The following is a 27,902-nucleotide window of genomic DNA, read 5'->3' on the forward strand; positions in this document are numbered from 1 at the left end:
GCATTGAAATGAAAGAGTGAATGACAGGAAGAATCAAATAAAATTTCATATTCAGGCCTGAAGACTCTTTGGTCTGTATATTCCTTGAGTATACACATATTATGTTTTTTCAATGTGACAACACTTTAGGTATTTACATTTTAGGTATTACTGTATTTACAAAATACTCACAGCCTTGCCCAAAAGAATTAGATAGATTTAGAGAGGAAGCCATTAACCCTTTTATGACCCATGGTTCCAAGCTCATTACTAATATTGATTAATGAATATCGATTTTTAATCCAACAGTATCAGGCATTAACCTTCATTCACCATGAAAGACCTTTATGAGGCTTATTGTCTAGATGCAGAGAAACTACATAATAAACTGAAACCAAGTAATAGTACAAAAGCACACCTGATGAATCTGGTGATTCTGGATACAAATATCAGAGGTAGGAGTGAGTACAGTGTACACTATCAATACTGTGAGGTGAAAGACTGTGTGATCAAGTTAGGTTAATAAATGAAGATTTGATGTCTATTATGATACCTCTGATGATCAAAAAATTTGTTTTCTGTATTATTGCTTCATGTAGTAAATTGGAACTTAATCAAATGATATATTTAATAATTAATTCGTCCTTTTAAAGTATAATGACAACATTAGGACTTGTGGCTTGATGTTGCCTTCTGAAGTTCTAGTAAAAAGGAGGTCAATGATGGTTCTAAATTACACCTCAGCAGAAAGTTGTGAGTATAGAATTTCTAGAGGAAGTGTTTTCAGAATTAGTTGGAGGAAGAGAAATGGTTTTGCTGATTTGTCTGAAGTAATGTTCTGTTTACATTGAAAGTAGATTTGGGCTGGATAGGTCACATTTAACATTTCAGGCCTAATGAAAACATCCCACGAACAAAAAAGATTTTGGTATGGAAAAATATGTTTCAAGCTGCCTCTTTGCAATTTAAACCTCTAGGAATTACCTGAATTGGGAACAATAAGGTGACCTCCCAGCGAGTTGAAGCTGCCAAATGCGGTACAGGATGGATCAGTCTGCCTTGCTAGACTCTGGTTCTTCAGGCTGAGGGCTTCATTCTCCAACAACGACTGGGTCATCTGAGGGGACAGCTTGGACGTAAACTCAGAGAGGTCATCTTGGGGGGTGACAGCACCTGAGGTGTTGTACACTTTGATTTTCAGGTTGGGCAGTGGATCCAGAATTGGAGAGTTGGTCATTGGGATTTTGTCTGAGACGTCATGCAGGGCATAGACAGGTCCTCTGTACATGGCTGCAGCTGACGTGAGGTCTGGGGGTACAGCCAGCAGATCTGAGTCAGAAAGAGAAAATAATCCCATTGGCATTCTCCATTCAGGCCAACCTACATTAGTCAGACTCCCCCTCACACTTTCTGAGCCGAAAGTAAAGCAGCTCAGCTAATATCGGAGATAGATAGACAGGCTCTACTGAAAACAGGGCAATCAGATAACTACCAGCTCTTTTATTATTGGCTGTAAGTAAGTGGTCAAGCTCATTCTATAATTTGCTTTGATGTCTACTCATTATGCCCAAGGTATTTGGCTATTTCAACAGATTGGATTGAACAACGAGCCTCACTAGGTGACGATTAGCTATGGTTTCCCTGGTCTATACTGGATTTGGGTTCATTGGTAAATCATTCTATTCATAGCAATACAAGATATCTTGTCAAAGGAAGTTAAAAAAAGAGACTCAAGAAATCAGTCAACCAATCAGGGTACTCTTTTCGATTAGAAGTTAAAAAGTGACAGAGCAATCTGTCAGAAAAGAAAAAAAGAGGATTTATCTTGTTAACTCTAATTTGTTATGTAAATGACATCAATACAGTAATGAACAAAATTAACTCAAATTGCTGTCTTCATGGAGCTTACATTCTAGCTGAATGAGATGACTCTAAAGTCATTGATTTTGAAACTGCTTACATGCATAAGTAACAGGGTGTGAAGTGGAATGTCAACTGACCTTGTCTTGCTGCCTTGATGTTCACAGGCTGAAAGCCCCCATTGAGTGCCGAAGAGTCAATAATATCTGACTCAAAGTCACGATGATTCTTCCGATACACAAACAAGGCCACAACTACAGAGATCGCCAGGCAAACGATCACTGCTATCACAATCCCAACATAGAGAGCAACATCATCTGAATCAGGAGCAGCTAGAGAGGAGAGTGAAACATTGAACCAGCTGCTTATAGAAATTTCCCACAGTACACATATGTATTGCTATAATTTTTTCAGACATTTACTGCCTTTTTTATAGGTTAATTTCAAATCTATTTCAAAAGCTATATAAAATGGCTGTGGCCTTTCAGTGGAAAATTGTCTCTGATTTCTTTTCCTTTCTCACTCTGCATCTATCCACCCACTAATCTATCTTATAATTGGGCAGCATAACAGACTGTTTATTACTAGGCATATAAAGAAACTGGAACTAAAACCATCCCAACCCACAGGAAAAAAAAGTTTATTACTCATTTCAGGTGGAAAAGTTTGGAAGGGTTTTTGAATTCACTGATAGTTCTTTAAAAACATAAACATAAACACTGTTAGAAATATCTGGCATGTTTTAAATCTGCATATTTATTGAACCAGAATATTTTCCTAAGTATCACTCCAAGTCATAAAATGACTTTCCATAGCACTCTTCTCACTTTCCCCTAAATCAATGGAGAGGTGGGTGGGAATGGTGTAACTAAGCAAAGCAAATACTAGGAGCAAACATATTAAATTTGAAAGGTGTGCTTTCAGAGGGCCCAGATCTGGGGGACAGAGGTTAATGCTGATAACCTTCTCTAAGTCCAGGCTTTGATACAGATGCAGTATTATCTCTGAGAACCCTGAGCTTCTCACGGTCCCCTGTCAGAGATTTACATTTGAGCTACTCATTACTAGAATAAAATATAGCTCTCTTGTGCACTAAGGAAGACAAAGGCCTGGTTCAGTGATCAGAAAGTTCAGACTACCCCAGAAGGCAAATAAGCATTTGACCAACACAGTGTGTCAGTCAACTGAGGTCTTTTTTCTGGAACAGAATTCCTATAAATGTTGCATGTTGCCTTGGTGGCACAGAACATGCTTGCATCTAACTGGAAAAGGTGATAGAAGCTGATAATTAAAACAAACAAATGAAATGAAACCTTTGTGGACCCCTTTGACATTTTTAAGTCTCTGTTTTTAGTATTCTGTGATGCACAAAAACATGTTCAGCAAAATTAATCAAAGCTGCTCCACTCACTGTAAAAGAGGTTGTTAAATTGGTACTTCAGGTAGTCGAGAACAACCTAGAATTTTATGGTCAATTTTATATACATGTACATTTTTCAGGGAGAGAGAACTTTCCAATTTGTAGGTCCCATGACCTCCTAAAATGTGAGGAACCACGGCCCTCTCCTAACGCTCACAGCCACATGGTTTACATGGTGAAATAACTCATCATTTCATTTGCCAGTGGCTCATGAGACAACCCACACTCTAATGTCATGGAATCTTTCACATATTAGCAGTGTAAATGAATTCTTTATTGGGAATTGCTCTATCTCTTTTGGCATTTTGTGTTTAAATGTAATGTATCCAAAAGGATTTTGCTTTCTTTTAAAAATAATTTTCTTCCCAACATTTCCAGAATATTCACTTTCCCATCAATCAAGTCAATGTTAGCAAATTTTCTTCAGAAAACCAGTGATATCACAAATACTCGTGATTGGGTGAGTGCTGCTTTCAAAGTACTTACTTCACTTCTCTGTTGGGTTTTATTTGAGGCACTGCTGCAGGATTCTGAACTCTGGTCAGAATATTATATCTAAATTCTTATTGTTTTACTTTACCAGGTCATAGTTACTTATTCAACATTCATGATTTCTAGCTCAACCCATCTGTCTTTTTTCAACCCTTTCTGTTTTGGTATTTGAACCCTGCCCTTTACTTATATCAGCACATTTCATGATATGTTTTGTCAGCTACTGGGACTCAAGCTTTGAATGGTAGACTGATAGATTTTAAAGTTGGCAGAGTCTTGAAATGACCCTTTCTTCTCTTCAGCAGCAAAAATCTAATTTATTTTTCATGTTAGAATATATTAGGCTCCTATTTCCTGTGTGCACATCTGTAATCCGAAGAAAGGTAAACTTGAACTAGGGGCAATAACGTTAAATGATTATTCAGCAACATAAAATCCAAACATCAAACTTACAAGAAAATCCATATTCATTCTGGGTTCTCTGTTCAGTTGAAATGGGATAAATGAAACCTTGAAAAGAAAAAAAAATGAAACAAAAATGGGAACAAAATCAAATTAATGAGGGAAAGAAAATAGGAAGCATGAAAAATGGTTTAATTAAAAGGAAAAGAAACCTGTGGTCTTTTAAAATTCTGATTCAGTATAAAATTATGATTTTGCATCTCCTGTCTGCTCTGGAGCCTCACTAAGAATTAATAAGCAGGCAGATTGAATTTTAGAGCAAAAACTGGTCTCGAGTCACTAACTTTGGAGTGCTTAAAGTCTTTCTTTTATTGAGCATAAACTCTAATGGATCTAATTTATTTCAGACATCAGGGGTCATTAGCATAAGGAAAATCTTTTTTCCTTATCCCTGCCATATGCTTTAATTCCCAGGACATATTCAGTAAGGCTCTAAACAGTTTTTTTTTCTTTTTTATTTAATCATAACAGCTTGTGCTTGGTCTAAGAGAACTAAAGAAGACCTGTCATCATTGGTCAAAGGTTAAGTACCCATTTACTGAGCTAAGCTGAGACCACCTCTCCCCCGCTCCATCTCAAATCTACTTTTTGGATTTTCTGTTGTTTCTTGCCCCCTTCATTTAATAGGAGTTCGATAGGTTTTGCCTAGGGACTGAACAGTTTGTCAATGCAATGGAAACTGGATGCTTTTTATTTGAAATCATTAGAAAATCAATAGGGCCTAGAGGTTATAAGGGTATTTATTTTAGGGCTTCAGAGAAATGGTGTATATTGGGAAAAATAAAAACTTTCATCTCAATAGAAAAATGCAGAAATAGCACTAGCATTTTATTTCTCTTCCTTTTTAGTGTATTCTGAAGGTGGAAACTAACAATAATAATGCAATATGGATAATGATAATAATGTGAAGTGGAATAAGATAGGGAAAAGTCACTTAAAATATGTGCAACACAAACTTTTTGAAATGAAAAACCTATGGAAAGTTTTAAAGTATATCTTATACTGGTAACCACAGTTCTCCAAGATTTACTATTCTGCTACATATGAATTAATCAAATGATACAGCACCATTTGGATTAATAAAATGAAGATGACTAAGAAGCCTGTGAATTAAACCTTCCTAGTAATACTCAAGGGCAAAAAACAGAGGAAAACAAGTTTCACAATTAACTGGTTCAAAATGAAAGGTCTATAAAGCTGTAATACTAAAAGCAACTCTAAATCGTGCCTCAGGTAGCACTTCCGTAGTTTGCCGAACACTCAGTTCTTACAAGCTATTTACCTATTTGGGGGAACTAATTCTGGAGAAACATGCAGTGCTACCTTAATGAAAGAGAGCTTTGCTGTAGCACAGATAGGTTTGCTCTGAATTCATTTTTAATGCCTTATTTTAGAGCAATGATTGCAACCTCCTACTCAGTTTTATAAATATTATATTCCTTATTCTAGTTGTCTGAGTCCATGTATTAGGTTTGATTTTCATTTTTAAACACCACTGCCTGGTAATAAAATTTTTCCATTTGTATTCTGTGAACTCAATAAAAGGACATCTGGGACATACACAGGCTCTATTTTCAAAACCCAAAGACTTAACACAAAACAAGTTCACTGCTAGTAGAGGAGACCAGATCACAATGCCATCTTCCTGGAAGTGATGATGTTAAGTAGAAGAATGTCAAAAGACTTATTTTTGCAGGTAAGAGGCAAGGAAATGAGTATAAAAGGCATGTTTACAAATGCTATGATGCTCATCCTGAAACTTTTGGTAAGAATCAGCCTGGCAGCCGGGCATGGTGGCTCACATCTGTAATCCCAGAACTTTAAGATGCTGAGGCAGGTGGATCGCCTGAGCTCATGAGTACGAGACAATCTGGGCAACATGGTGAAAGCCCATCTCTACCCAAAATACAAAAAATTAGCTAGGCATGGTGGCGCGTGCCTGTGATCCCGGCTACTCAGGAGGCTGAGGTGGGAGCATCACTTGAGACTGGGAGGCGGAGATTGCAGTGAGCAGAGATTGCGCCACTGCACTCCAGCCTGGGTGATAGAGCGAGATCTGTCTCAAAAAATAAAAAGAAAAGAATCAGCGTGGTCCTGCTTGAATAAGCAGAAGAGCTGCGTCTTGCAAAAGGAAAGCCTATCTCCAGCTAGGTATCACGTGGTCCGAAATTTCTCCCTGTAAAGCAGTTCTGAGTTTTTTGTCCCTGCTTCCCACCAGAATTCCTGTTCTTGATAGGCAGACCAAGAATAGAGAATATAACTTCGTAACTTCGATTTGAATGTCAACTTTCACAAATATTATGTAGATTTAAACTACTCAATAAATGTTTTGTGCCTTATGGTATTTATCTGAAACTGCAATCTCATTCCAGGCACAGAATTGGAATTCATTCATTCATTCATTCATTCATTCATCATCCGTTTAGCAAATACTCTTGAACCTTATTATATTCTGGGTTCTGTTGTAGACATGGGGATACTTTCCTGTTTTTACTGAAGTTTAACAGAAAATAAGCAAGTAAACAAAATAATAAGATCATTTCAAATAGTAAAAAAGTTCTTTTAAAAATAAACCAAAAGAACATAATGTGTTTGGAGATATCAGGATGGCCAACTTAGGGAATTAAGGAAGAATTTTTTTTTTTTAATTGAGATGAAATTTGACCTGGAGCTTGAAAAAAAGAAAGAATCTGCCAAGTTAAGATCAGGAGGCAAGTGCTTGATGAGAAACGACAATAAATACGAAAGTCCTGACAGAAAGACAGAATGGTTAGAGGGTGGGGAGCAAGCAAGAAAGGAAAGGGAGGAGGTGGGGTCAGAGGACAGGCAGCACCAGGTCACGTCCTGGTGGGCCAGGATGAGGAGTCTTGCTCTGTCACCCAGGCTGGAGTGCAATGGCACGATCTCGGCTCACTGCAACCTCCGCCTCCCGGGTTCAAGCGATTCTCCTGTCTCAGCCTCCCGAGTGGCTGGGATTACAGGTGTGCACCACCATGTCCGGCTAATTTTGGTATTTTTACTAGACGCGGGGTTTCACCATGTTGGCTAGACTGGTCTCGAAATCCTGGGCTCAAGCTATCTGCCCACCTTAGCCTCCCAAAATGCTGGGATTACAGGCCCGAGTCACTGCACCTGGCCTCCACAGTGAGTTTTGATTTTATTCTAAGTGAAATGCATATCCTGTGATCGAATGTCATTTTGAAAAAAATCACTTTGGTTTCTATAGATATGGATTGTCAAATGGAGCAAGGTGATAGGGTTTTACAGATGGCTTCTATAACACATGGCTTGGGAGATATCTGTCAATAGGTGTATAATATAACTGATGAAGTGTTTGCATTTGAGGTTGTTCTGAATGAAAATAAAATATTAAAAAAATTAAATATCGCCTCACTCTAAAATATTAAAATATTTAATATTTAAAAAATTTTAAAAATATTTTACAAAGTCTCACTTACTTTAGTTATTCCTCACAGGCAATTAGGACCAATCTAGCCAAACTCTTATTTTCCTACATGGGAAAATTTAAAACAGACCAGTATTAAGTGTACTCACCAAAGGTTTGACACTCCAATTTACTCTGTTATGGAAACACTGATAAAAAGTTATGTAAGGCATCCCTGTAAAACTTTTTCCATCATTTTCAAAACACTTCTGCAACTACAGAAGTAAAACATCACTTAGCAGGCTGGGAATCAGAGAAGAAGGGGATTACTGTTCCATCCCCTAAATGAGGGGAACACAGAATCACTTTCTGGAGTTTGTTTTTATGCTTCTCCATCTGATCCGTCTCTCACGGAACAACAGGGAACATTTTCTTCAGCTAATGAGGTGACCCTGCTGAGAGTAGTCCTAGCAATAATGAAAAATAACATCTCCGGCGGAACACAGTGCAAAATAATTGTTTTTCGGTTGCTACCGACAGCCTGGTTCAAAAGTTAGGGATTTCAGTTAACTTTCCTGCTACTTCAAAGTAAGGTGGGCTAAGAAAAGCACCAGGCCATGGGCCAGTACACTGCTTTTCAGTGTCATGAACATCAGCTTGAATCCTAGCTCTGCCACTTAGCTGGGAGAGCTTTGCCGAACTACTTCACTTTTCTAAGTATCAGTTTTCTAATCTGTGTAAGGGGATATGAATACTTACATCTAGAGCTGTGGAAAGGATAAATGAGATTTGTAAGGTGCTGGTACATTGCCAGTAATCAAGAAATGACCAACAATGACATTGATATAATTATGATGCACGTTACTAAGGTATACTAAGATGCTGGGTCCTTAAGGGATTTTATCTGTAGAGTCAACATAGCCTATTATCTAATGAGTGATCTTAGGAAACTCGTTTGAATTTGTTTCCCCAGTTATTACATAGACAGGGAGCCCAGTTTTTCAGAGAAGCCGTATGCAATGCTCTCTTCTAAGGACTCTTGCACTCTCTTCATGTAAAAAGGCTTATGCCTGTCCTTTGTGGCTTCTGGCAAAAGATATGGTGGTATGTTTCCAAAGCACATTTTCAAGGCCAGAGTGCAAATTGATGGTAAAAAGGTATCTCAACCAAGAGTGATGCAATTTCTCAAGAGGGTGTTTGGAAATGGGGTAGGGATGGTGTTTTTTTTTGGTTGTCATAAGGATTAGGTGGTTGTTTTTTGGCATTTGGTGAGTGGAGGCCAAGGATATTGAATGTCCTGCAATGAAAGAAACAATCTTGCCATGAAAGGATGGCCCAGAACAAAATCCACCTCCCTTGATAACAACTTTCAAAATCACCTCTTTTTGACTGAGAAGGCAAGAACAGGCATGGCGTTCAGGGAAAGGTATGAGGCTTGTTATCCCTGGGTACAGTGTGGCCTCAGCAACTGCTTTTTCAAGAGCAGTGCTTTTTCAAGGGTAACTGCTTATAACCTATATCCACTTTAAAACAATGTTTTTTTTTTTTTTTAAATATTTATTTCGAGATAGGGTCTTGCTCTGTCATGCTGGCTGGAGTGCAGTGGTGTGATCATAGCTCACTGCAGCCTCCACCTCTTGGGATCAAGCAATCCTCCCATCTCAGCCTCTCAAGTAGCTGGGACCACATATCTGCACCACCACACCCAGGCTATTTAAAAAATTTTTTTTGTAGAGATGGGGTCTCGCTATGTTGCCCAGGCTGGTTTTGAACTCCTGGGCTCAAGCAATCCTCCCACCTTGGCTTCCCAAAGTGCTGGGATTACAGGTGTGAGCCATCGCACCCAGCTGTAACTTGTATTTTTAAAGAAAATTTATTTTTTAAAGCATAGATTTTCCTGACTTGCAGGAATACAGACTAAAGGAGATTCGATATGGAGAAAACCTTTAAGTGAAGAAAAAATATTTGAAAACTGGAGCAAGAGCAGGCTATGTCTTAAACAGTCCATGCAATGCTCCTTTTACTTGAAGACCATCTCATAATTGCTCAAAACATTATCTCAGGAGATTGTCTCATTCAATCTTTTTCATATGAGGAGACAGAGTCTCAAAGGTGAGAAAGGATGTTTGCAAAGTTACCCAAAGTGTTGATATTCTACCAACTAAAATTTGGGTCAATAAAACTGACAATGTATAATTTTGCATTGTCCAGCTCTGGGTGGCAGCATTCATATTTGTGTTTACTGTAGATTTGGATTAATCATAGAACCATTTCCTGGCTGCTGGTAGTAAAGTGACTTAGGGAACGAATGACTTTTTTCTAATTTGCACAAGGTCATCATTTAGACTAGAGGTGAGGTTGCCCGAACTTTTTAGTGATGTCCAACCATTGTAAAAGATCAGAGCCCATGTCCAAGTATTGTAAAAAAAGAAAGAGAGCAAGAGAGCTTTCCTTGGTGTTTACACTGAAGGAAGTAATATCAAATTATCCCTAAGTACACAGCCAAGACCCAGTAACTGAGCAACAATATACCTAAATGTAGCCTGTCTGGTGGGTTTATATTTGAGAGTCTCAAGAATAATGCCAGAAACAAAATGTAAATCTTCATTTCCCCAATAAACAGCAACTACTTTTATTTTTCTAGCCTTTTCAAATTTTTTCTTTCCAAGCCATATGGATAGATAGCAAAAAATGATCATGGTTTTATTACTACTTTTTAAAAAAATAATTCAAACTGTTTTTATGCCATACTACATACTTTCATATAAATAATTATCAAGCAAATATTCTGATGTGAGAAATGTCATAACTTCTGAACATCATTAGCCAGGTTTAAATCCTCAAAACCAAGTCTATGTTCTCACAAACTTGCAAACCCCCAGGATGTTGGAGTGAAAATAGATCATTGATTGGAACTCCCTAATTTAACCCTTTGAGTATAGAGTGGTAAAGGGATTTGTCTAACATTATAAAGCTGGTGAAACAGCAGAGCCAGGGTTGGATCCCAGCCCTCAGGCTACACCTCCACCGTCCTTCTTAAGTACTATGTGAGCAATAATTAGTAGATTCGAATGAGGAGAGACAAGGAAATAACAGAAGAGGGCTTGGTAGGCACCTGGCTTAATTTGTAATTTGGTGATTGCATGAGATAACCCTGCTGATTTGGACTGTAAAATATCTCTCCATTTGAAATATTATCATTTATAGTCATGACACTTATAAAGCCAAAAATAGCATAGAGAGGTTGTCTCCTTTACATGAAAAAAATTTCCAAACAGTGTCTTCTGTTACAAGTGTGGGGCAAGCAAAGAGGTGTACCAAACCTCAGCATTTCCACTCTAATGTGACTGGGGAGCCTTGCTAGAGTGATGTAGTTGTTAATGCATGATAATCACATTGCATTTGGCATAAAACCCTATAAGTAAATATTTAAAGGAGAAACATCATTTCCCTCAAAAATGATGCCATGTGGAAAAAAGGAATAAACATCAATAATTGGAGGAGCTCTACACATCAGAAGAAAATTCCATTTTTTTTAATTATACTTCAAGTTCTGAGATACATGTGCAGAATGTGCAGGTTTGTTACATAGGTATACACATGCCATGGTGGTTTGCTGCACCCATCAACCTGTCATCTACATTAGGTTTTCTCCTAATGCTATCCCTCCCCTAGCCCCCCACCCCGACAGGCCCCGATGTTCCATGTTCCCCTCCCTGTGTTGGTGTGTTCTCATTGTTCAACTCCCACTTATGAGTGAGAACATGCAGTGTTTGGTTTTCTGTTCCTGAGTTAGTTTGCTGAGAATGATGGTTTCCGGCTTCATTCATGTCCCTGCAATAAAACATGAACTCATCCTTTTTTTATGGCTGCATAGTATTTCATGGTGTATATGTGCCACATTTTCTTTAAGCAGTCTATCATTGATGGGCATTTGGGTTGATTCCAAGTCTTTGTTATTGTGAACAGTGCTGCAATAAACATATGTGCGCATGTGTCTTTATAGTAGAACGATTTATAATCCTTTGTGTATACACCCAGTAATGGGATTGTTGGGTCAAATGGTATTTCTGGTTCTAGATCCTTGAGGAATCACCACACTGTCTTCCACAATGGTTGAACTAATTTACACTCCCACCAACAGTATAAAAGCATTCCTATTTCTCCATATCCTCCCCAGAATCTGTTGTTTCCTTTTTTTTTTTTTTTTTTTTTTTTTTTTTTGAGACGGAGTTTCACTCTCATTGCCCAGGCTGGAGTGCAGTGGCACGATCTTGGCTCACTGCAACCTGCACCTCCTGGGTTCAAGCGATTCTCCTGCCTCAGCCTCCCGAGTAGCTGGGATTACAGTCGTCTGCCACCATGGCCAACTAATTTTTTGTATTTTTAGTAGAAATGGATTTCACCATGTTGGCCAGGCTGGTCTCGAACTCCTGACCTCAGGTGATCCACCTGCCTCAGCCTCCCAAAGTGCTGGGATTACAGGTGTGAGCCACTGTGCCCAGCCTGTTTACTGACTTTTTAATGATCACCATTCTAACTGGTGTGAGATGGTATCTCATTGTGGTTTCGATTTGCATTTCTCTAATGACCAGTGATGATGAGCTTTTTTTCATGTTTGTTGGCTGCATAAATGTCTTCTTTTGAGAAATGTCTGTTCTTATTGTTTGCCCACTTTTTGATGGGGTTGTTTTTTTCTTATAAATTTGTTTAAGTTCCTTGTTGATTGTGGATATTAGCCCTTTGTCAGATGGATAGATTGCAAAAATTTTCTCCCATTCTGTAGGTTGCCTGTTCACTCTGATGATAGTTTCTTTTGCTGTGCAGAAGCTCTTTAGTTTAATTAGATCCCATTTGTCAATTTTGGCTTTTGTTGCCATTGCTTTTGATGTTTTAGTCATGAAGTCTTTGCCCATGCCTATGTCCTGAATGGTATTGCCTAGGTTTTCTTCTAGGGTTTTTATGGTTTTATGTCTTACATTTAAGTCTTTAATCCATCTTGAGTTAATTTTTGTATAAGGTGTAAGGAAGGGGTCCAGTTTTAGTTTTCTGCATATGGCCAGTTTTCCCAACACCATTCATTAAATAGGGCATCCTTTGCCTATTTTAAAGCAATAAAAGCTGACAACCACTTGCTTCTGGCATCCAAGATCCTGCATGAGAACAGGCTTAAAAATGAGACAGATCTGCCTTCACACATTGGCTCCAGCACTCATCTGTGGATGTTGGGAGGGCTGTTTCAATTATATGCCTCAGTTTCTTCCTTTGTAAAAGAGAACTATTGTTAGGGGATTAACAAAAGTTCTGTTTGTAAGGTTTTTTTTCTACCTTTTGAGTATTAATTAAATTGAGCTCAATTCAATTTTTTCTTAACTTGGTCATGTCTGACACAGTAGACTGGGGTCAGAAGCAACTAATGCCAGGGCCTAAAATCAATGTATTAGGTGGACAGCAAACAGAATTAAAATGAAATCTGAAATATCTTTAAACTACCATATAAGATATGGTACTTTTTATGCCCTCTAAAGTCTATATGTAGGTGTCTGGGCATTAAAACCTTGTCTTTACATTAGTATCAGATACTTGGCCAAAAAAGAGATAGGTAGAGTTTTAGGAGGTGTCCTGCTTGCCTTTGAGGTTTACTCATTACATTTCAATATGGAGCTGCTTCTATGACCTTAATACCCGTAAATAGATTTTAGGATACTGTGGGGATTAAGCACAATAGATGATAGATTCATATCTTATGGGGGTGGCTAGGATGCAAGTTATGCATATGACATAATGTCATTTATAAAAGCATTAAACATATTCTAAAAAAGTAGCTATTTTTAGGTCACAAAGGTCTTGGTTAGTTTTAGTAATATTTATCTACTCTAAGTCCACTAGGCTACTTGATAAGATTGTTCCTCATTTTCTGATCCTATCCTTAGAAGAATCCCCTCTCCTTGACCTGGCCGCTTGGTCTTCTTTTTTGCCAGTTACTTTACACTAAGCCAAAACATGGGCAATTTTTTCACCCCAATTACATTTGTTCTGATGCAAATGTTCTTATTAAAACCTCAAGGGCCATTCAAAATAAACATGTCCAGATTTTCTTTTATCCTTTAAGGTCAGCTCTTATCTAGCAAACCCATCAGGGCTGCACTAATGATGTCAAAGGTCAGGTCTGTCAAAGACACCCAGGGTCATTTATTATAATTTACCACTCTTCTGAGGGTTTATTTATTGATAGGGCTTAAGGAACTCCAAATAAATGAATACATAAATCCTAGGACATGACAACAACAATTAAAAAGAACATTTGCTTATCACTGATGTCAGTTATCTAAATTGCCATGGTAATTTACTGCTCCAGCCTGCTGAGGACAATGGCCACACCTCACTAAGCTGGTTCATAGCCCTGTTCCTTACAGTGACCAGCCACACCCTTCTGAAAATGAATAGTAGATAATTAACATCCCAGGATGTAAATGTCTTATCTCATGATTCACAGTAGGTGAAGCATAAATGCCTGAAATTTAAACTAAGTTCATTAATATCAAACTCATAGATCAGCTACTCAAGTGTTTTTATATGTGTTATATAAACTATATTATGTTTTATATAAGTGTTATATAAACTATAATATATTACATAAACTATATTATGTAAACTATATTATAAAACATATTATATATGTTTTATATAAGTGTTATATTATATAATGGACTCTATCCCCGTCAATGCTTCTTAGAAAAGAAAAATAAATTATAAATCCAAAAGCAATGATACCAGAACCCCTCCATGGTAGTAAAGACACCTGATAGAAAAAGTAAAATGATGAAGAGTCCTGATGTATAAGGTGACTGACTTCTAGAATACATGAACCTATCTGCTAGATTTCTAGCAAGAAGAAAATTGAGCTTGCAGCCCTGGACCTGCACCCCCGTGATCTCGAAGGAGCCCATGCTTTGCTGTAGTTGCTGGCTTGGTGGCACCTTTCTTGATCCCCTCAGAGGTCCCTTTCCACCTAGAATCTAAAGACCTTGCATTTGTTTTCTAACCTGTTTGGTGCTCCGTAGGTGTTCATTAGGCTTCTGTAGGCTAAAGTTTCTAACCACATCCCTGCTTTCAAAACCAGGAAAATGTTTTACCAGAAAGGAAAACAAAAGCAAACCACACTTATTATACCGGACACTGTGTAGCATTGTGTTGGGCAGGCAGGCCATGTACAGAATATTTATTTGCCAGCTGGGACGCTACACATATCAAGAACTACACAAACACAGCTATGACATCAACTTCTTCCAACTATGGATAAAAGCTCTCACTGTCTACCACTCACAATTATGCTTTCCTATCAAACTGCTGTGTTGACAAGAATTTCACTGGGAAATGACTAGCACCTTCTCAAATGCCTACCACAGGCGGTTATAAACGTATCATTCTAAAGTCAAGAAATGAGTATTTGTAAGGTAAATTACTTCCCCACATTAAATCCACCTGGGCTTCTGGGGGCCCTGGTATGCAGTGTGTCCACACCACAGTTTACACATGGAGAGCTCTGCCACTTCCTCTGTACTTCTGAGAATTAATAGAAGAGCTGTGTGACGTGTAATTTTTTTAATGAGTTGAAAGTGCTAACTTTGCAGAATGCCTAACATTTTAATTTCCCAAAGTCAGGAAGTTCACTGATGCAGACACAATTCCAAGCAGTTCTTGTTAGTAAATTACAATTTTAAATTTGTCTACTGTGGCATGAACCGTCTTCAGCAAGGAGTAATTCTAAGTTCAGATTTGAACTGTTAAAAATCCCTATGAGAAACTCCAAACTTACAAAGAGAATAAAAACTAAAATCTATAGGAATGGTTGCAGTAACTTAATAATCCAATCTACTGTATTGATAAATATATATATAAATTTGCATTTCTGGACTAGGCCATATATATAGTATTGAATTGCTATTTTCAAAAGGAAGAAGTAAGCAGTGATTAAACTATTCATATTATATGCTATCCATGACAAATAGATCTTACTAAAAATTCATTATAAAGATTATAAAAGTTAGGCCCCATGTGGTGGCTCAGGCCTGTAATCTCAGCACTTTGGGAGGCTGAGGTGGGCAGATCACTTGAGGTCAGGAGTTCGAGACCAGCCTGGCCAAATGGTGAAACCCCATCTCTATTAAAAATACAAAAATTAGGTGGGTAGGGTGGCGAATGCCTGTAATCCCAACTACTCAGGAGGCTGAGGCAGGAGAATTGCTTAAACCCAGGAGGCAGAAGGTTGCAGTGAGCCAGAATGGCGCCACTGCACTCCAGCCTGGGCAACAGAATGAGACTCCATCACATTTAAAAAAAAAAGGAAAGAAAAGATTATAAAAGTTAAAAGTTATCAGGTCTCAGTAATACAATTGTATTTCAACTTAAAAGGTAAATATAATATGCTTATTGTCTTAGCATTTTTTGAGATTTCTTAAGTGTTTTCTGCTTCTTCTGTATCTTTCTATGTGTCCTGTTCTCTGTGTCTCTCTCTCTTGTCATAACCATTTAATGTAAAGCCTATTTCAAAAATATATTGTAAAATGTGGGGGGTGGCTGCTTTCACATCAGTTTAGGGATGATATAAAGAAACCTAAGTATTTTAATATGTACACAGTACAACTGGTCTTCCAATACTGATTCTGTAGTATTATTAAGTAAAAACTGATATTTGTTATTAATGTTAAGTTTTTTTAGATCAGACATATATTTTCAATTATTTTCAATAGCAACAAACACGCCAAATCGCTTACCTTTTTTTTATTATACTTTAAGTTTTAGGTTACATGTGCACAACTTGCAGGTTAGTTACATATGTATACATGTGCCACGTTCGTGTGCTGCACCCAATTAACTCGTCATTTAACTTACCTTTCTTATTCAATGCAATCCATGTCATTTAGTGTACCACAGAACTCCACTTTTTAAAATGTAGTTTTGAAAACAATTAAGTATGTGCTTATGAACCCAAAATGTCCAAGTTATTTCTGGCACCTTAAGTGATTCTGATGGCTTCTAATTACTCTTTAGTAATGCATTCTGGTGAAATAACATCAATTTTGTAAAGGTCTTAATTTGAAGGCACCAAGGCATTGATTATCTCCAGCGTAGGAACTACTTTTTCAGGCCAGTGAGACTTTATCCAGTGTAATACATATATATTATATGTTACACAGTACTTACAATATGAACTACTATGTATGAGTGGTATAAAAATGTAATAGAGCTTCTGAAATTGTTTAAGACCACGATTATATTTCACAAATGAAATTACACAATATCACATAATGAATCCAAGTTATCACACAGTATAAGAGTTTAAATTATGATTGCAAGGACAGATATGTGTCTATATATCTGTATGTGATAGGCAACTGGGAAATAATGTAAAACTATAATTCAGTTCCAAATCCCCATGTCTTCAAAATACTTGTGTTACTGGCTATAAGTCTTGCACCCTAGGGTTTCATACAACTAGGGTTTTATACAAGTATTTTATGCAAATACTTTTTTGGTAATCTAATTTGAATCAATGTGACCAAAGTCAGTGACATTGCTAGTTCTTAAATTCAGAGAGCCATGCTTCCAAGACCATGCTGTGGCCTATCCTCAACAGTTCTTTTTAAAAAATGTCATTTATTATTATAAACATAATGGAATACTAAGCATAAATAATGTATAGAATAGAAAGCATATAGGGTTGTTTGTTTTTTTCTTGTAAATTTGTTTGAGTTCATTGTAGATTCTGGATATTAGCCCTTTGTCAGATGAGTGGATTGCAAAAATTTTCTCCCATTCTGTAGGTTACCTGTTCACTCTGATGGTAGTTTCTTTTGCTGTGCAGAAGCTCTTTAGTTTAATTAGATCCCATTTGTCAATTTTGGCTTTTGTTGCCATTGCTTTTGGTGTTTTAGTCATGAAGTCCTTGCCCATGCCTATGTCCTGAATGGTATTGCCTAGGTTTTCTTCTAGGGTTTTTATGGTTTTAGGTCTAACATTGCAGTCTTTAATCCATCTTGAATTAATTTTTGTATAAGGTGTAAGGAAGGGATCCAGTTTCAGCTTTCTACATATGGCTAGCCAGTTTTCCCAGCACCATTTGTTAAATCGGGAATCCTTTCCCCGTTTCTTGTTTTTGAGTGGGCAAAGGATATGAACAGACACTTCTCAAAAGAAGACATTTATGCAGCCAAAAGACACATGAAAAAATGATCATCACTGGCCATCAGAGAAATGCAAATCAAAACCACAATGAGATATCATCTCACACCAGTTAGAATGGTGATCATTAAAAAGTCAGGAAACAACAGGTGCTGGAGAGGATGTGGAGAAATAGGAACACTTTTACAGTGTTGGTAGGACTGTAAACTGGTTCAACCATTGTGGAAGACAGTGTGGCGATTCCTCAGGGATCTAGAACTAGAAATACCATTTGACCCAACCATCCCATTACTGGGTATATACCCAAAGGATTATAAATCATGCTGCTATAAAGACACATGCACATATATGTTTATTGCAGCACTATTCACAATAGCAAAGAACTGGAACCAACCCAAATGTCCAACAATGATAGACTGGATTAAGAAAATGTGGCACATATACACCATGGAATACTATGCAGCCATAAAAAGGATGAGTTCATGTCCTTTGTAGGGACATGGATGAAGCTGGAAACCATCATTCTCAGCAAACTATCGCAAGGACAAAAAACCAAACATCGCATGTTCTCACTCACAGGTGGGAATTGAACGATGAGAACACTTGGACACAGGAAGGGGGACATCACACACCGGGGCCTGTTGAGCAGTTGGGGGAGGGGGGAGGGATAGCATTAGGAGATATACCTAATGTAAATGACGAGTTAATGGGTGCAGCACACGAACGTGGCACATGTATACATGTGTAACAAACCTGCATGTTGTGAACATGTGCCCTAGAACTTAAAGTATAATAATAAAAAATAAATAAATAAAAGAAAAAAAAGAATAGAAAGCATATAGAAAAAGAAAAAAAATACTTGTAATCTCATTATCCCAGAAAATTCATAAGTTTCATTCATCTTTTACTAAGCATACCTTTACACGCTTATCACTAAATACATATATAAATCCATATTCTGCTTTTCCATGTTAAAACCTCATAAATATTTTAGCGGACATCATAAATGATGTTCCATTTAATGGAAGTACTATGTGTTACTTAACCATCATCCTAATATTAGACTTTTGGGTTTTACATTTTTTACAATAACAAAGAATATAGACATAGTTGGCATACAGCTGCTCCTCAGTATCCAAGGAGGATTGATTCCAGAACCACCCCTGACCATCGACACCAAAATCAGAGATTGCTCAAGTCCCTTATGTAAAATGGCATAGTATTTGCATGTAACCTATGCACATCCTCATGTATACTTTAAACCATCTCTAGGTTGGTTATAATACCTAATACAATTTAAATGTTAAATAAATTGTTATACTGTATTTTAACATTTTATTTTTAATTGTTGTATTTTTTTATTGTTTTTAAAAATATTTTTGACCTGCACTTGGTTGAATCCACAGATGTGCAACTCACTGATACAGAGGGCTGACTGTATATATTTTTAGCTATTCATACTAATTACTTAAAACTTATGCATTCAAGTAGAATTATTGGGTCAAAGGGTATGATAACTTTAAAACTCTTGACTTATATTGTCAAATTGCTTCCCCATAAAAATTTTTATTCCCATTAGCAAAGTACAAAAGTTTCCACTTAACTACACATTTGTTTAACATTTAGCATTATTATATCTTTAAAGTATTCATTAGTTTTATAAGTAACCTTCAAAGCCTTTTTATGAAAAATTTCAATTGGTGTCAAATTTGAGGAAAGAAATAGATTTCTAACATGTCTTATCCAAACACTATCAAACTGGTAAACAATTTAGAAAACTTTTGATTAATTTTTCAGTTGAAATTAAGCATTCTAAAAACTATAAAGCCCATAATAAAACTCTATATTCAAACTATGAGTCAAAAATGATCTCTAATATATATTACTTAGGTATAATGGGAAATGGAATTGAATAAAGAATAGCCCAATCAGATAGTAAAAGCCATTAATTGGACATGTTAAAATAAATACTGAACAGACCCGGCGCAGTGGCTCACGCCTGTAATCCTGCTTTGGGAAGCCGACGCGGCAGATGACGAGATCAGGAGATCTAGACCATCCTGGCCAACATGGTAAAACCCTGTCTCTACTAAAAATACAAAAATTAGCTGGGTGTGGTGGTGTGTGCCTGTAATCCCAGCTACTCAGGAGGCTGAGGCAGGAGAATCACTTGAACCAGGAAGTCAGAGGTTGCAGTGAGCCGAGTGCAACTGCACTCCAGCCTGGCGACAGAGCAAGACTCCGTCTCTAAATAAATACATACATACATACATACATACCTACATACTCAACAATACTGTAAGTTCCATTTCTTAACTTTCAATCTTTTCCTATAATTATGATTTAAGTATGTGACTCATAAACAGAATAAAACTGAGTTTTTTTCTACAATTTTGGATTTCCTTTTACAGGTGAGTTTAATTCATTTACATTATGATCCCTGATATATGTAGCTTTATTTCCACCATCTCATTTATTGTTTTAATTTACTAGTTTTCCTTTTGCCAATTTCCTACCCTTAAAATTTTTATTTTGAATTTATGCATTCAATTTTTATGTGTGTACTCAAGTCTTAACATTTTAGCTATAACAGTGGAATCAAGGAAGTCTAATGTAAATACCATTACTATTCTTTTCCTGAGCAATATATAGAAAATGGAAATTTTTAACTTAGTTTGCACCTTCCCATATTCCATGTTAATATTGTCTACCATTTAGCTCCATCTTATTTTCAGCTTCTCCTCAATTGGTCTCATCTTATTTTAAGGAACCAATTGTTGTTTTTCATTTTCAGTAGTTTACTCAGTAAGGTTTATGAGTAATAAATCCTCTCTATCTTGATTACCTGAAAATCTTTTAAATTTTGTTCTTTTATTCAGTAAATGTTGGATTTTCTCATTCTATCCTCCATTAGTTTTATTCTCTCTTTTACATATTCACTTATGTATTAACAAAACTTCCCTGTATTGTGAGAAGTTTCATAAGATCTACATTCCAGTTTATAAATTTTCTCTTCAGCTTTATCTAAAGCTGTATCTGATTTTTCATCTTCCAATGAGTTTTAAATTTCAATCATTATGCCTTCCTCTCTAGACATTCCATTTGTTTTTTTCTCCAAATCTGTCTTTTTAACAATATTCTGTTATTTCATTTGTGCTTATGTTCCTTTTAAAAATATGGTTTGTCTTTTTACATCTACTTTACTCTATAGTTTCCTTCAGATTGCTCTATGAGTTCATGTTAGTAGACTGCTAACTCATTTATTATTGCTGACTCTCCCTTACAGTGGACAATTTTCTTGGGTGATTGGGAACTTTGTATTGTAAGCTTATTGACAGGTGTGGCTTATTTTTGTCTTAGACTAATGAACTTAGTTATGAAAGGAAACTTAGATAGTGGCTTGCTGTTTGCTCTGCTGGTGTCCTAGAAGCTTAATTATACATCTTTCGTGTTTTGCTTCTAGCACTGTATCTTAGATTCCATACCAGAGCTAGGGTGAGGTTATGGTTTTACTATGGGTTTTATTTAAATGAAGTCTTCATTTCCCTTTTCCTACCACTTTTTTCTATGTCTTCCCTTGGCTGGTGGGCAAAAATGTTATAGTTGTTTCTTGTGGGTAGGTCAGGCATTTGTGAGTTTCAGCTTTCTTTAGGGTTCTTATTTCCAAGTCTAGGTCTCACAAAGCCAGGACTTCTTCTCTGTGCCAAAACTGAAACCCTGATTTCCAGTCCCCGGGACCCATGTCCATATCCAGCTCCCCGCTCCTGGTTATATTGGTGTCCACTCACACCGTTACCTCTCTAGCTTGGAGTTGCAGCTTCATTTTTGGCATTTGAGGATTTCTCTAATTTCTTTCTTTTGGACCACGTATTTTCTCTCTCTCTCTTTCTGCATGCACATGTATGTCTCTACTAAGTTTGCAATATTTTATCCAACATTTTAATATATTTTCAGTCAAAGGTGTTTGTATTAAGCGCTTAACAAGGAAATATATCTGAATTCGTTTTGAACAAATTAACAAATAAATATCAACAGTAATATTTTCTATATATTTCACATTGTATTCCTCTTAAGTACCAAGTTAGCTTTTGAAAAAATATTATGCTACATTATCTAGGTAACTCTGAATCCTACTAACATCCATTATGAACTCTGAATTTCTCCTATCTAGCAGTACACCTACATTTATATCAGAATTATTTGTATACAATTTTGAATAGATTCAGAGGTTGTAGTTCTTACCTGGTTCACTGAAAGTAGACTAGCTTTATTTTGAGATAAATTGTGATATCATTGAAGGACTATTTATTAATGCATTCCAGACACTAATTCTCCCAAAGGAAATAAATATTAAATGATAATTCCTAATTGCTGATTACAACTTTCTGGCTATCTTTTCTACTCCCATTCTTTTTCTTAATACTGACCTTGTCCCTCTTGCGAACTTTGCACTTTCACTGTTAGAAGCCTTTGTTTTCCAAAATAATGGCCAAACAATATTATTTTTTTACAAGACTTTGGCAGTAATGCTGTCCCAGATACACTAAACTAACTGGTAAACAGAAACTATAGCTTTCACTGTAAAATACTGTAATTACACAGTGCAGAATATCTCTGTGGTTTTATCACTGAGGAAATCAATAGTGATATAGACTACAATTCTCTGTTGGACTGGAGTGGATACAGGAGGGCAGATGAAAGAGTTTATTGACTTAGTAGGGATTGTTACTATAGCAAATCAGAGCTGCAGAAATAAATAGCTTTAAATGGAATGATTTTAACCCGAACAGCAAAATGTTTCCATCAAACAAGAGACGTGATAAAAATACAAACAAAAACAAACACAAACACAAACAAACAAACAACTAAAAAATCTCCTCCTATAGCCTCATTCCTCTTCCCTGTCAATAGACACACACTTCATGCCATCATTACTGGCAAATATCCAATCATAAGGAAAAAATTCTATGAATGCCTAAGAAATGATCTAGAAGCTAAGGGGTTGCTATGTCATGAAAGTCTTAGTTTGAATATATCATGTTTGTATTTGTCATAATTTAAAATGTGACATTTTCTATGACTAATAAAAGGTTCTGTCTCGTGGCATTGTATTCCTTGTTAAAGAGGTTGTTCTGAGGATTTGTAAATATGCACAATGGAAGTAGTAGGCATTAAATCACCCAAGATTGAAATAGTACATTGAGAGAGAAAGAACGTGAAAGGCAGAAAGATAGAAAAAGTCCAACTATTTCTACTTTGCAATCGCATGAATCAGTTTGTTCTAGAGTAAAGGAAAAATACTAAGTGATGAAAATGTTAAAAAGACTAACTTGTATGTGGTATGTTGCTATTTTAATCCTCAACCCAAACAAACTCTGTACCTCTAGATAAATGGTTAGCAAAGCCGATTTTCATTTATGCATTTCTAGTACAAACTTGTGAGGTTCACAGTGGCAGGCCCCACATCATTACCAGAAGCTGTGCTTTATACACTCAGCAGCAGCCCGTTCTTGGGGAATGCAGTGTACCCTGAACATAAAAATAAGAGGCCTATTGGATTTTTATTCTGTGTGAGCAACATAATTGTTTATTTGTATTTTAAGTAAGATATCTTTCTAAAGGTTCCTGTGTGTATAGACTCTGAAAAGTAAACAGGATTTCATAAGTGTGGTAAAAACAAAATATTTTATTCTTAAATGACAAGTACAAATACCTTTGCACAAACACCTTCAGCTGCTTGTATTCTGCTAGCAATGTGTAATGTATTATGAGAAATGTCAACACTAGACAACCATTAGTTCAGATCCAAAGACAGCACATTTTTTGATCCATTAATCTGAATAGGTATGATTTCAGAATAATTCTTAATACCTCAATTTATGGTCATGAAAAGAGATAGTAAACTGTGTACATCTGAGGGCTCCTCAATAAAGGGGTCAGAGTTTGCAAGTATGAAATCAAACTACCACTTAATTAAGAAAATCTAAAGAACAAAGACGTGAAAAAAATGGAGAATATCTAGCTTATAGCACCCATTACATTCCTGAGCCAATCTTCGGCACTCATTTTAAAAATGTATGCTTTATCAATATTTATTTCCTTTAAATAAACTAAATCATACCCGCATTATAATTTCTAATACAAACCCAGAATTTTCAAGAGGTTGCAGAGATGTTCTCACTAAACATTCGTTCTAAGGTAAATCTACCTACAGAAATGTTTGTCATCTTTACATCTATTTTACACTCCATGGACATTTTCGTTAGGTACCTGCCATGAATTAAGAATAAACGGCTTACATTTTAGAAGTCTTGTTTTGACTCTGTGAGGAGTTTAGAGTGCTCTTTTGTGCTTTCTGATAAAACTAAGTAATGGTTCCCTTCCATATAAGTGATAGAATCAACCCTTGCTCATGAAAAAGCAATATTGCATGCCATTTGTTAGCCGGACATAGTTACTTTTTATTCTGGTTCCTGGAAAATTCGCTTTTTCCAATTTTGAGAGCAAGCTAGAATATTGCTATGTTATTGCATTTTATTGTTGTTGAAAGAATTCTTTATTTCTAATGTTTCCTTAAAAAACTCCAAATGGTTCAATCTCCAGCCCCCTCAATGTCTGCAGTTTGCTTAAATTGACTTACTCTGCATGCAAAGCCCATCAGTGCAGTTCTTGGATTGCAAGACGAGGCCGTCGCAGTCCTTGCCTCCATTCTTGGGGGCTGGCGCCGTGCACTCCCTCCTGCGCCAGTGGGTGCACTCAGTTCCACAAGTAGACCACTTGCTCCATGGCGTCCACCTGCCATCCACTGCCATGGAAAAAATGCAGCAGGAGGTCAGAGGGAGAGGCAGCTGCTTAAGGGATGGAGCAGAGCTCAAATATAATACAACAAAACAAAACAAGAACAAGCATGCCCTACTGAGAAGCACTGTATTCATTTCAATTGCTGGGAACTGCATGTTCTACATCATTTGGGTTTGGTGAGCTTTTCCTATAGAGTGTGTGAGTGCTTTCTCATTGACCAAGCCAAGGGAGGCTGACTGAGACATACAAAATCCAAAGTTGTCACCAGGAGCTATGTAAAAGTAGGCCATGATGGTTTCCCTTTTCCTATTAATGGGGGAGCTTCTGGGTTTTGTATTGAAAATTAGGAGGGCTCTCTTTGGATCCAGGATTCCTTCATTCCTAGGGCCATGTGGACAGTGAAAGTAAGCTCATGTGAGAATTCAGAGAAGAGGTTGGTACGGTGGAGAAGAAATCTATCCAACCTTCCATTCATTCATCCAGTTGGTATATATCTATTTATCTCTTCTCTTTCAACTGCATTTTATATAGTCTTTTTATTTTACTTTTTTCATCTGGCCTGCTTGATTCTGCTGAAACCTGTAATGTTTTCATGAAAACACTATTATTTTTCATTTATTATTTGATGATGTTTCTGTTTCTATTTTTATTAAAAAATTTTAGGTAAGTCCCTAATATTTCTTGTGATTCAGTCATTTAGAACTGACTTACTTTCTTCCTAATTTTGGTGGCTGGCTTGTCAGCAACTTCAAAGATAATGAACTTAGATATCTCTATTTTAAAAGCACACAACTTAAGTCTCAGTTTGAAAAAAGATATAGTAAATTTCAATCACACTTCAAAATGCAGCTTAAGCTTCTCACAAAAATAGGATAAAAATATTGAAATAAGAGCTTTAAAATATTAATTTTCCCTGAAATATATAATTATGATGATCAAGGATTCAATGTAAAACAATGCTAAACATCATTTCTTGAACACCTTAACCTTTTATATCTACATATTAGTAAAAATTATATCATTTTAATAGTCTACATAGTTTGAGAAATCTAAGTGATTTCATATTCAAATTATTATGTAAATATATTGTGTATAATGTGGATATGGTTATAAACATACCCACATGAAAAATGAGAAAAGCATTAATATTTCAGTCATACAGAACTGGCTGTATAAGCAAGTCCCAACTACTTAGAGCAAAAACATTTGCTTTGACCTGCACCAATCCAGTGTACCAAAACACTGACACACACACACACACATTTCTATTTCAACTCTAATTGATCAGTGCATTTTTAATTGTGGGAGTCAGCTCCTATAAAACAAAATCTGAAATTTTAAGCTAGCTAAGTGTCAAAATTTGTTTCATAAATAAAAGCTCTCAAAGGGCTCACTGTGGGAGACTGCTCTGACATTTGGAAATCAACACTTGGGAATGTAAAGTGTAGATTATGTATATCTCTCCAGTTCATTTGTCCAGCCCATCTCTGAGAAAGGTTAAAAGATAAAGGTTAAAGGATAAACATGACCAAATTAGGCAAAAAGGAGAAGTAAGGAGGCTGTGTATCTGAACAATAAAATTGAAAACACAATAGCTACTCCAATGAGTGCAGTAAATTTATGGATTATTTCAAAATTTTAGCTTAGCTTTGGAATATATTGTATAACGAGGCATTTTAAAGGGTTTTGTTTTTGCTTTTGGCAAATATTATCTTCGATTTACCTAGGGATAAGAGCTGGTAGCAATATGAGATAGTACAGAAAGATGCTAAGAGGTGGAGAGATGCATGCACTCTTGCTGTAGGTACTACAGCAAATAACAAAAAAATAGATGACCAACATTTACAGATAACAAAGAACTGACTGCATTGTAGTTTCAGAATCCATTATCCCAAGTACCAAAAAACTTTGCATTCCTTATAATTCATTTCAAATGTTGTATTTGCCCTTCACCAGAAACTGACACCAAATATAAAATATTTCCATCTAAAACATTTTCTAAATTTCAGTTCCAATTAATTTCTACGGTTTTCTGAAGATCAAGGATTGTTATTCCTAAAATGTGTGGCTTCCAGTGCCATTCAAATCCTTTGAATTATAAAATCTGCAATCTTGGCCCCAGCAGTTTTGTTGAATAATATAAAGGGATTATATCCAGTAGTGTTTAATCTCCTGTTTTGTACAATTTTGCATGTTTTGGTAACAAAGTTAAGTATTCTTTTGGAGGAAAATACTTGATTTCCCAGCAATGTAAACAGTGAGTAGGATGGATTTAAATAACGTTCATCACACATTCAGATCAAGAATAAAGTCTGTGTATCTATTCTCTAAAAGCATGTTTCTTGAATAATAGGAGATACTTGGAATGAGAGGACTGGTTTATTTACCTGGGCATAACGTAGTACAGGCTATTTTCTGCACACTCTGCCCTTCACAGAAGGCACCCCCATTGAGTGGTGCCGGGTTGGTACAAGTCCTTGTACGTTTCTGATACCCTCGTCCACAGCGGCTGTTACACACAGACCACTCCGTCCAGGTGGACCAGCCACCGTTGACTGAAAGGAGGCAAACAGTAAAAAGTGGATTAAACATGTGTGCATGCACAACACACATGGACACACAAAACAGACACAATATGTAAACAAAGAGTTATTTTCCAAGCGACCATTATAAAAATCCAAAATTTCAAAGCCAGAAGAGACCATGGACCTCATTTTATCCAAAGTTTTATTGTATAGACAGAGAAAAAAAAAAGTTTGTCAAGATTTACTCACCTACTCAGAAAAATAAATAGGACTGTATGTGTTCTCTTTTCTTTGGCCAGTGTTCTTAAAAAATACACCTATCTCCTCACCTAGTCAAGCTCCAAAATTACTTTTGACAGCTCGTCTCAAATAATAAATGTTTACATCTCTATGAAAAGCCTGCAAGTCAATCTATAGCATGGGAACAGAATAAAATAATTTAGCCTTAAAAAAAAGATTGATTTTTTAAGCATATGTAAACTTTACAACGTTTTAAGGATTTTTATTCACTTGCACAAACCAGTGAACCTGGTTAAAAAATAAAATCTTACAGTACTGGGGTTATAAACAAATTGACTGGCTATTTGAGTTACTTGGCGATTAGTTGATATTGAAATAAACACTTACTTTGTGTATAAAGGCCAATTATGATGTCTGATGGAGCTGTCAGCATATGTGATTGTAAAACCTACACCGTAAGACTGCACACTATTCAGTTCTGCAGACCTCTCTTTAGAAAATACTTTGATATATATTTTTAATACTTCAATAATGTGAGTCTGTACAATATTGT

The 27,902-nt window shown here is 36.4% G+C and overlaps 1 protein-coding gene across 4 annotated transcripts in view, besides 1 other annotated feature; it reads right to left on the reverse strand.

Moving 5' to 3' along the window:
- The window catches only part of UNC5C (unc-5 netrin receptor C), a 386,470-nt gene that overhangs the window by 55,502 nt on the left and 303,066 nt on the right, over positions 1-27,902 (reverse strand). For 3 of the 4 annotated variants that reach the window (XM_005263321.4, XM_047416346.1, XM_047416345.1), the window contains 5 exons: positions 26,972-27,139; positions 24,424-24,588; positions 4,205-4,261; positions 1,980-2,171; positions 964-1,308 (listed from right to left, as the gene is read on the reverse strand). In XM_005263321.4, coding sequence (XP_005263378.1) covers positions 964-1,308; positions 1,980-2,171; positions 4,205-4,261; positions 24,424-24,588; positions 26,972-27,139 — 927 coding nt within the window. The remainder of the gene's footprint in view (positions 1-963; positions 1,309-1,979; positions 2,172-4,204; positions 4,262-24,423; positions 24,589-26,971; positions 27,140-27,902) is intronic. The other variant, NM_003728.4, reaches the window with a different exon arrangement.
- Positions 939-2,138: an enhancer, noted in NCBI's record as "CDK7 strongly-dependent group 2 enhancer chr4:96140095-96141294 (GRCh37/hg19 assembly coordinates)". NCBI's record gives its function as "activates an origin of replication core promoter dependent on BRD2, BRD4, P300/CBP, MED14 and CDK7 cofactors, with strong dependence on CDK7, by STARR-seq in HCT116 cells {active_cell/tissue: HCT116}" and the evidence as "EXISTENCE:reporter gene assay evidence [ECO:0000049][PMID:35650434]".

The sequence above is a fragment of the Homo sapiens genome, chromosome 4 (genome assembly GCF_000001405.40).
Source record: "Homo sapiens chromosome 4, GRCh38.p14 Primary Assembly".
NCBI lineage: Eukaryota > Metazoa > Chordata > Mammalia > Primates > Hominidae > Homo > Homo sapiens.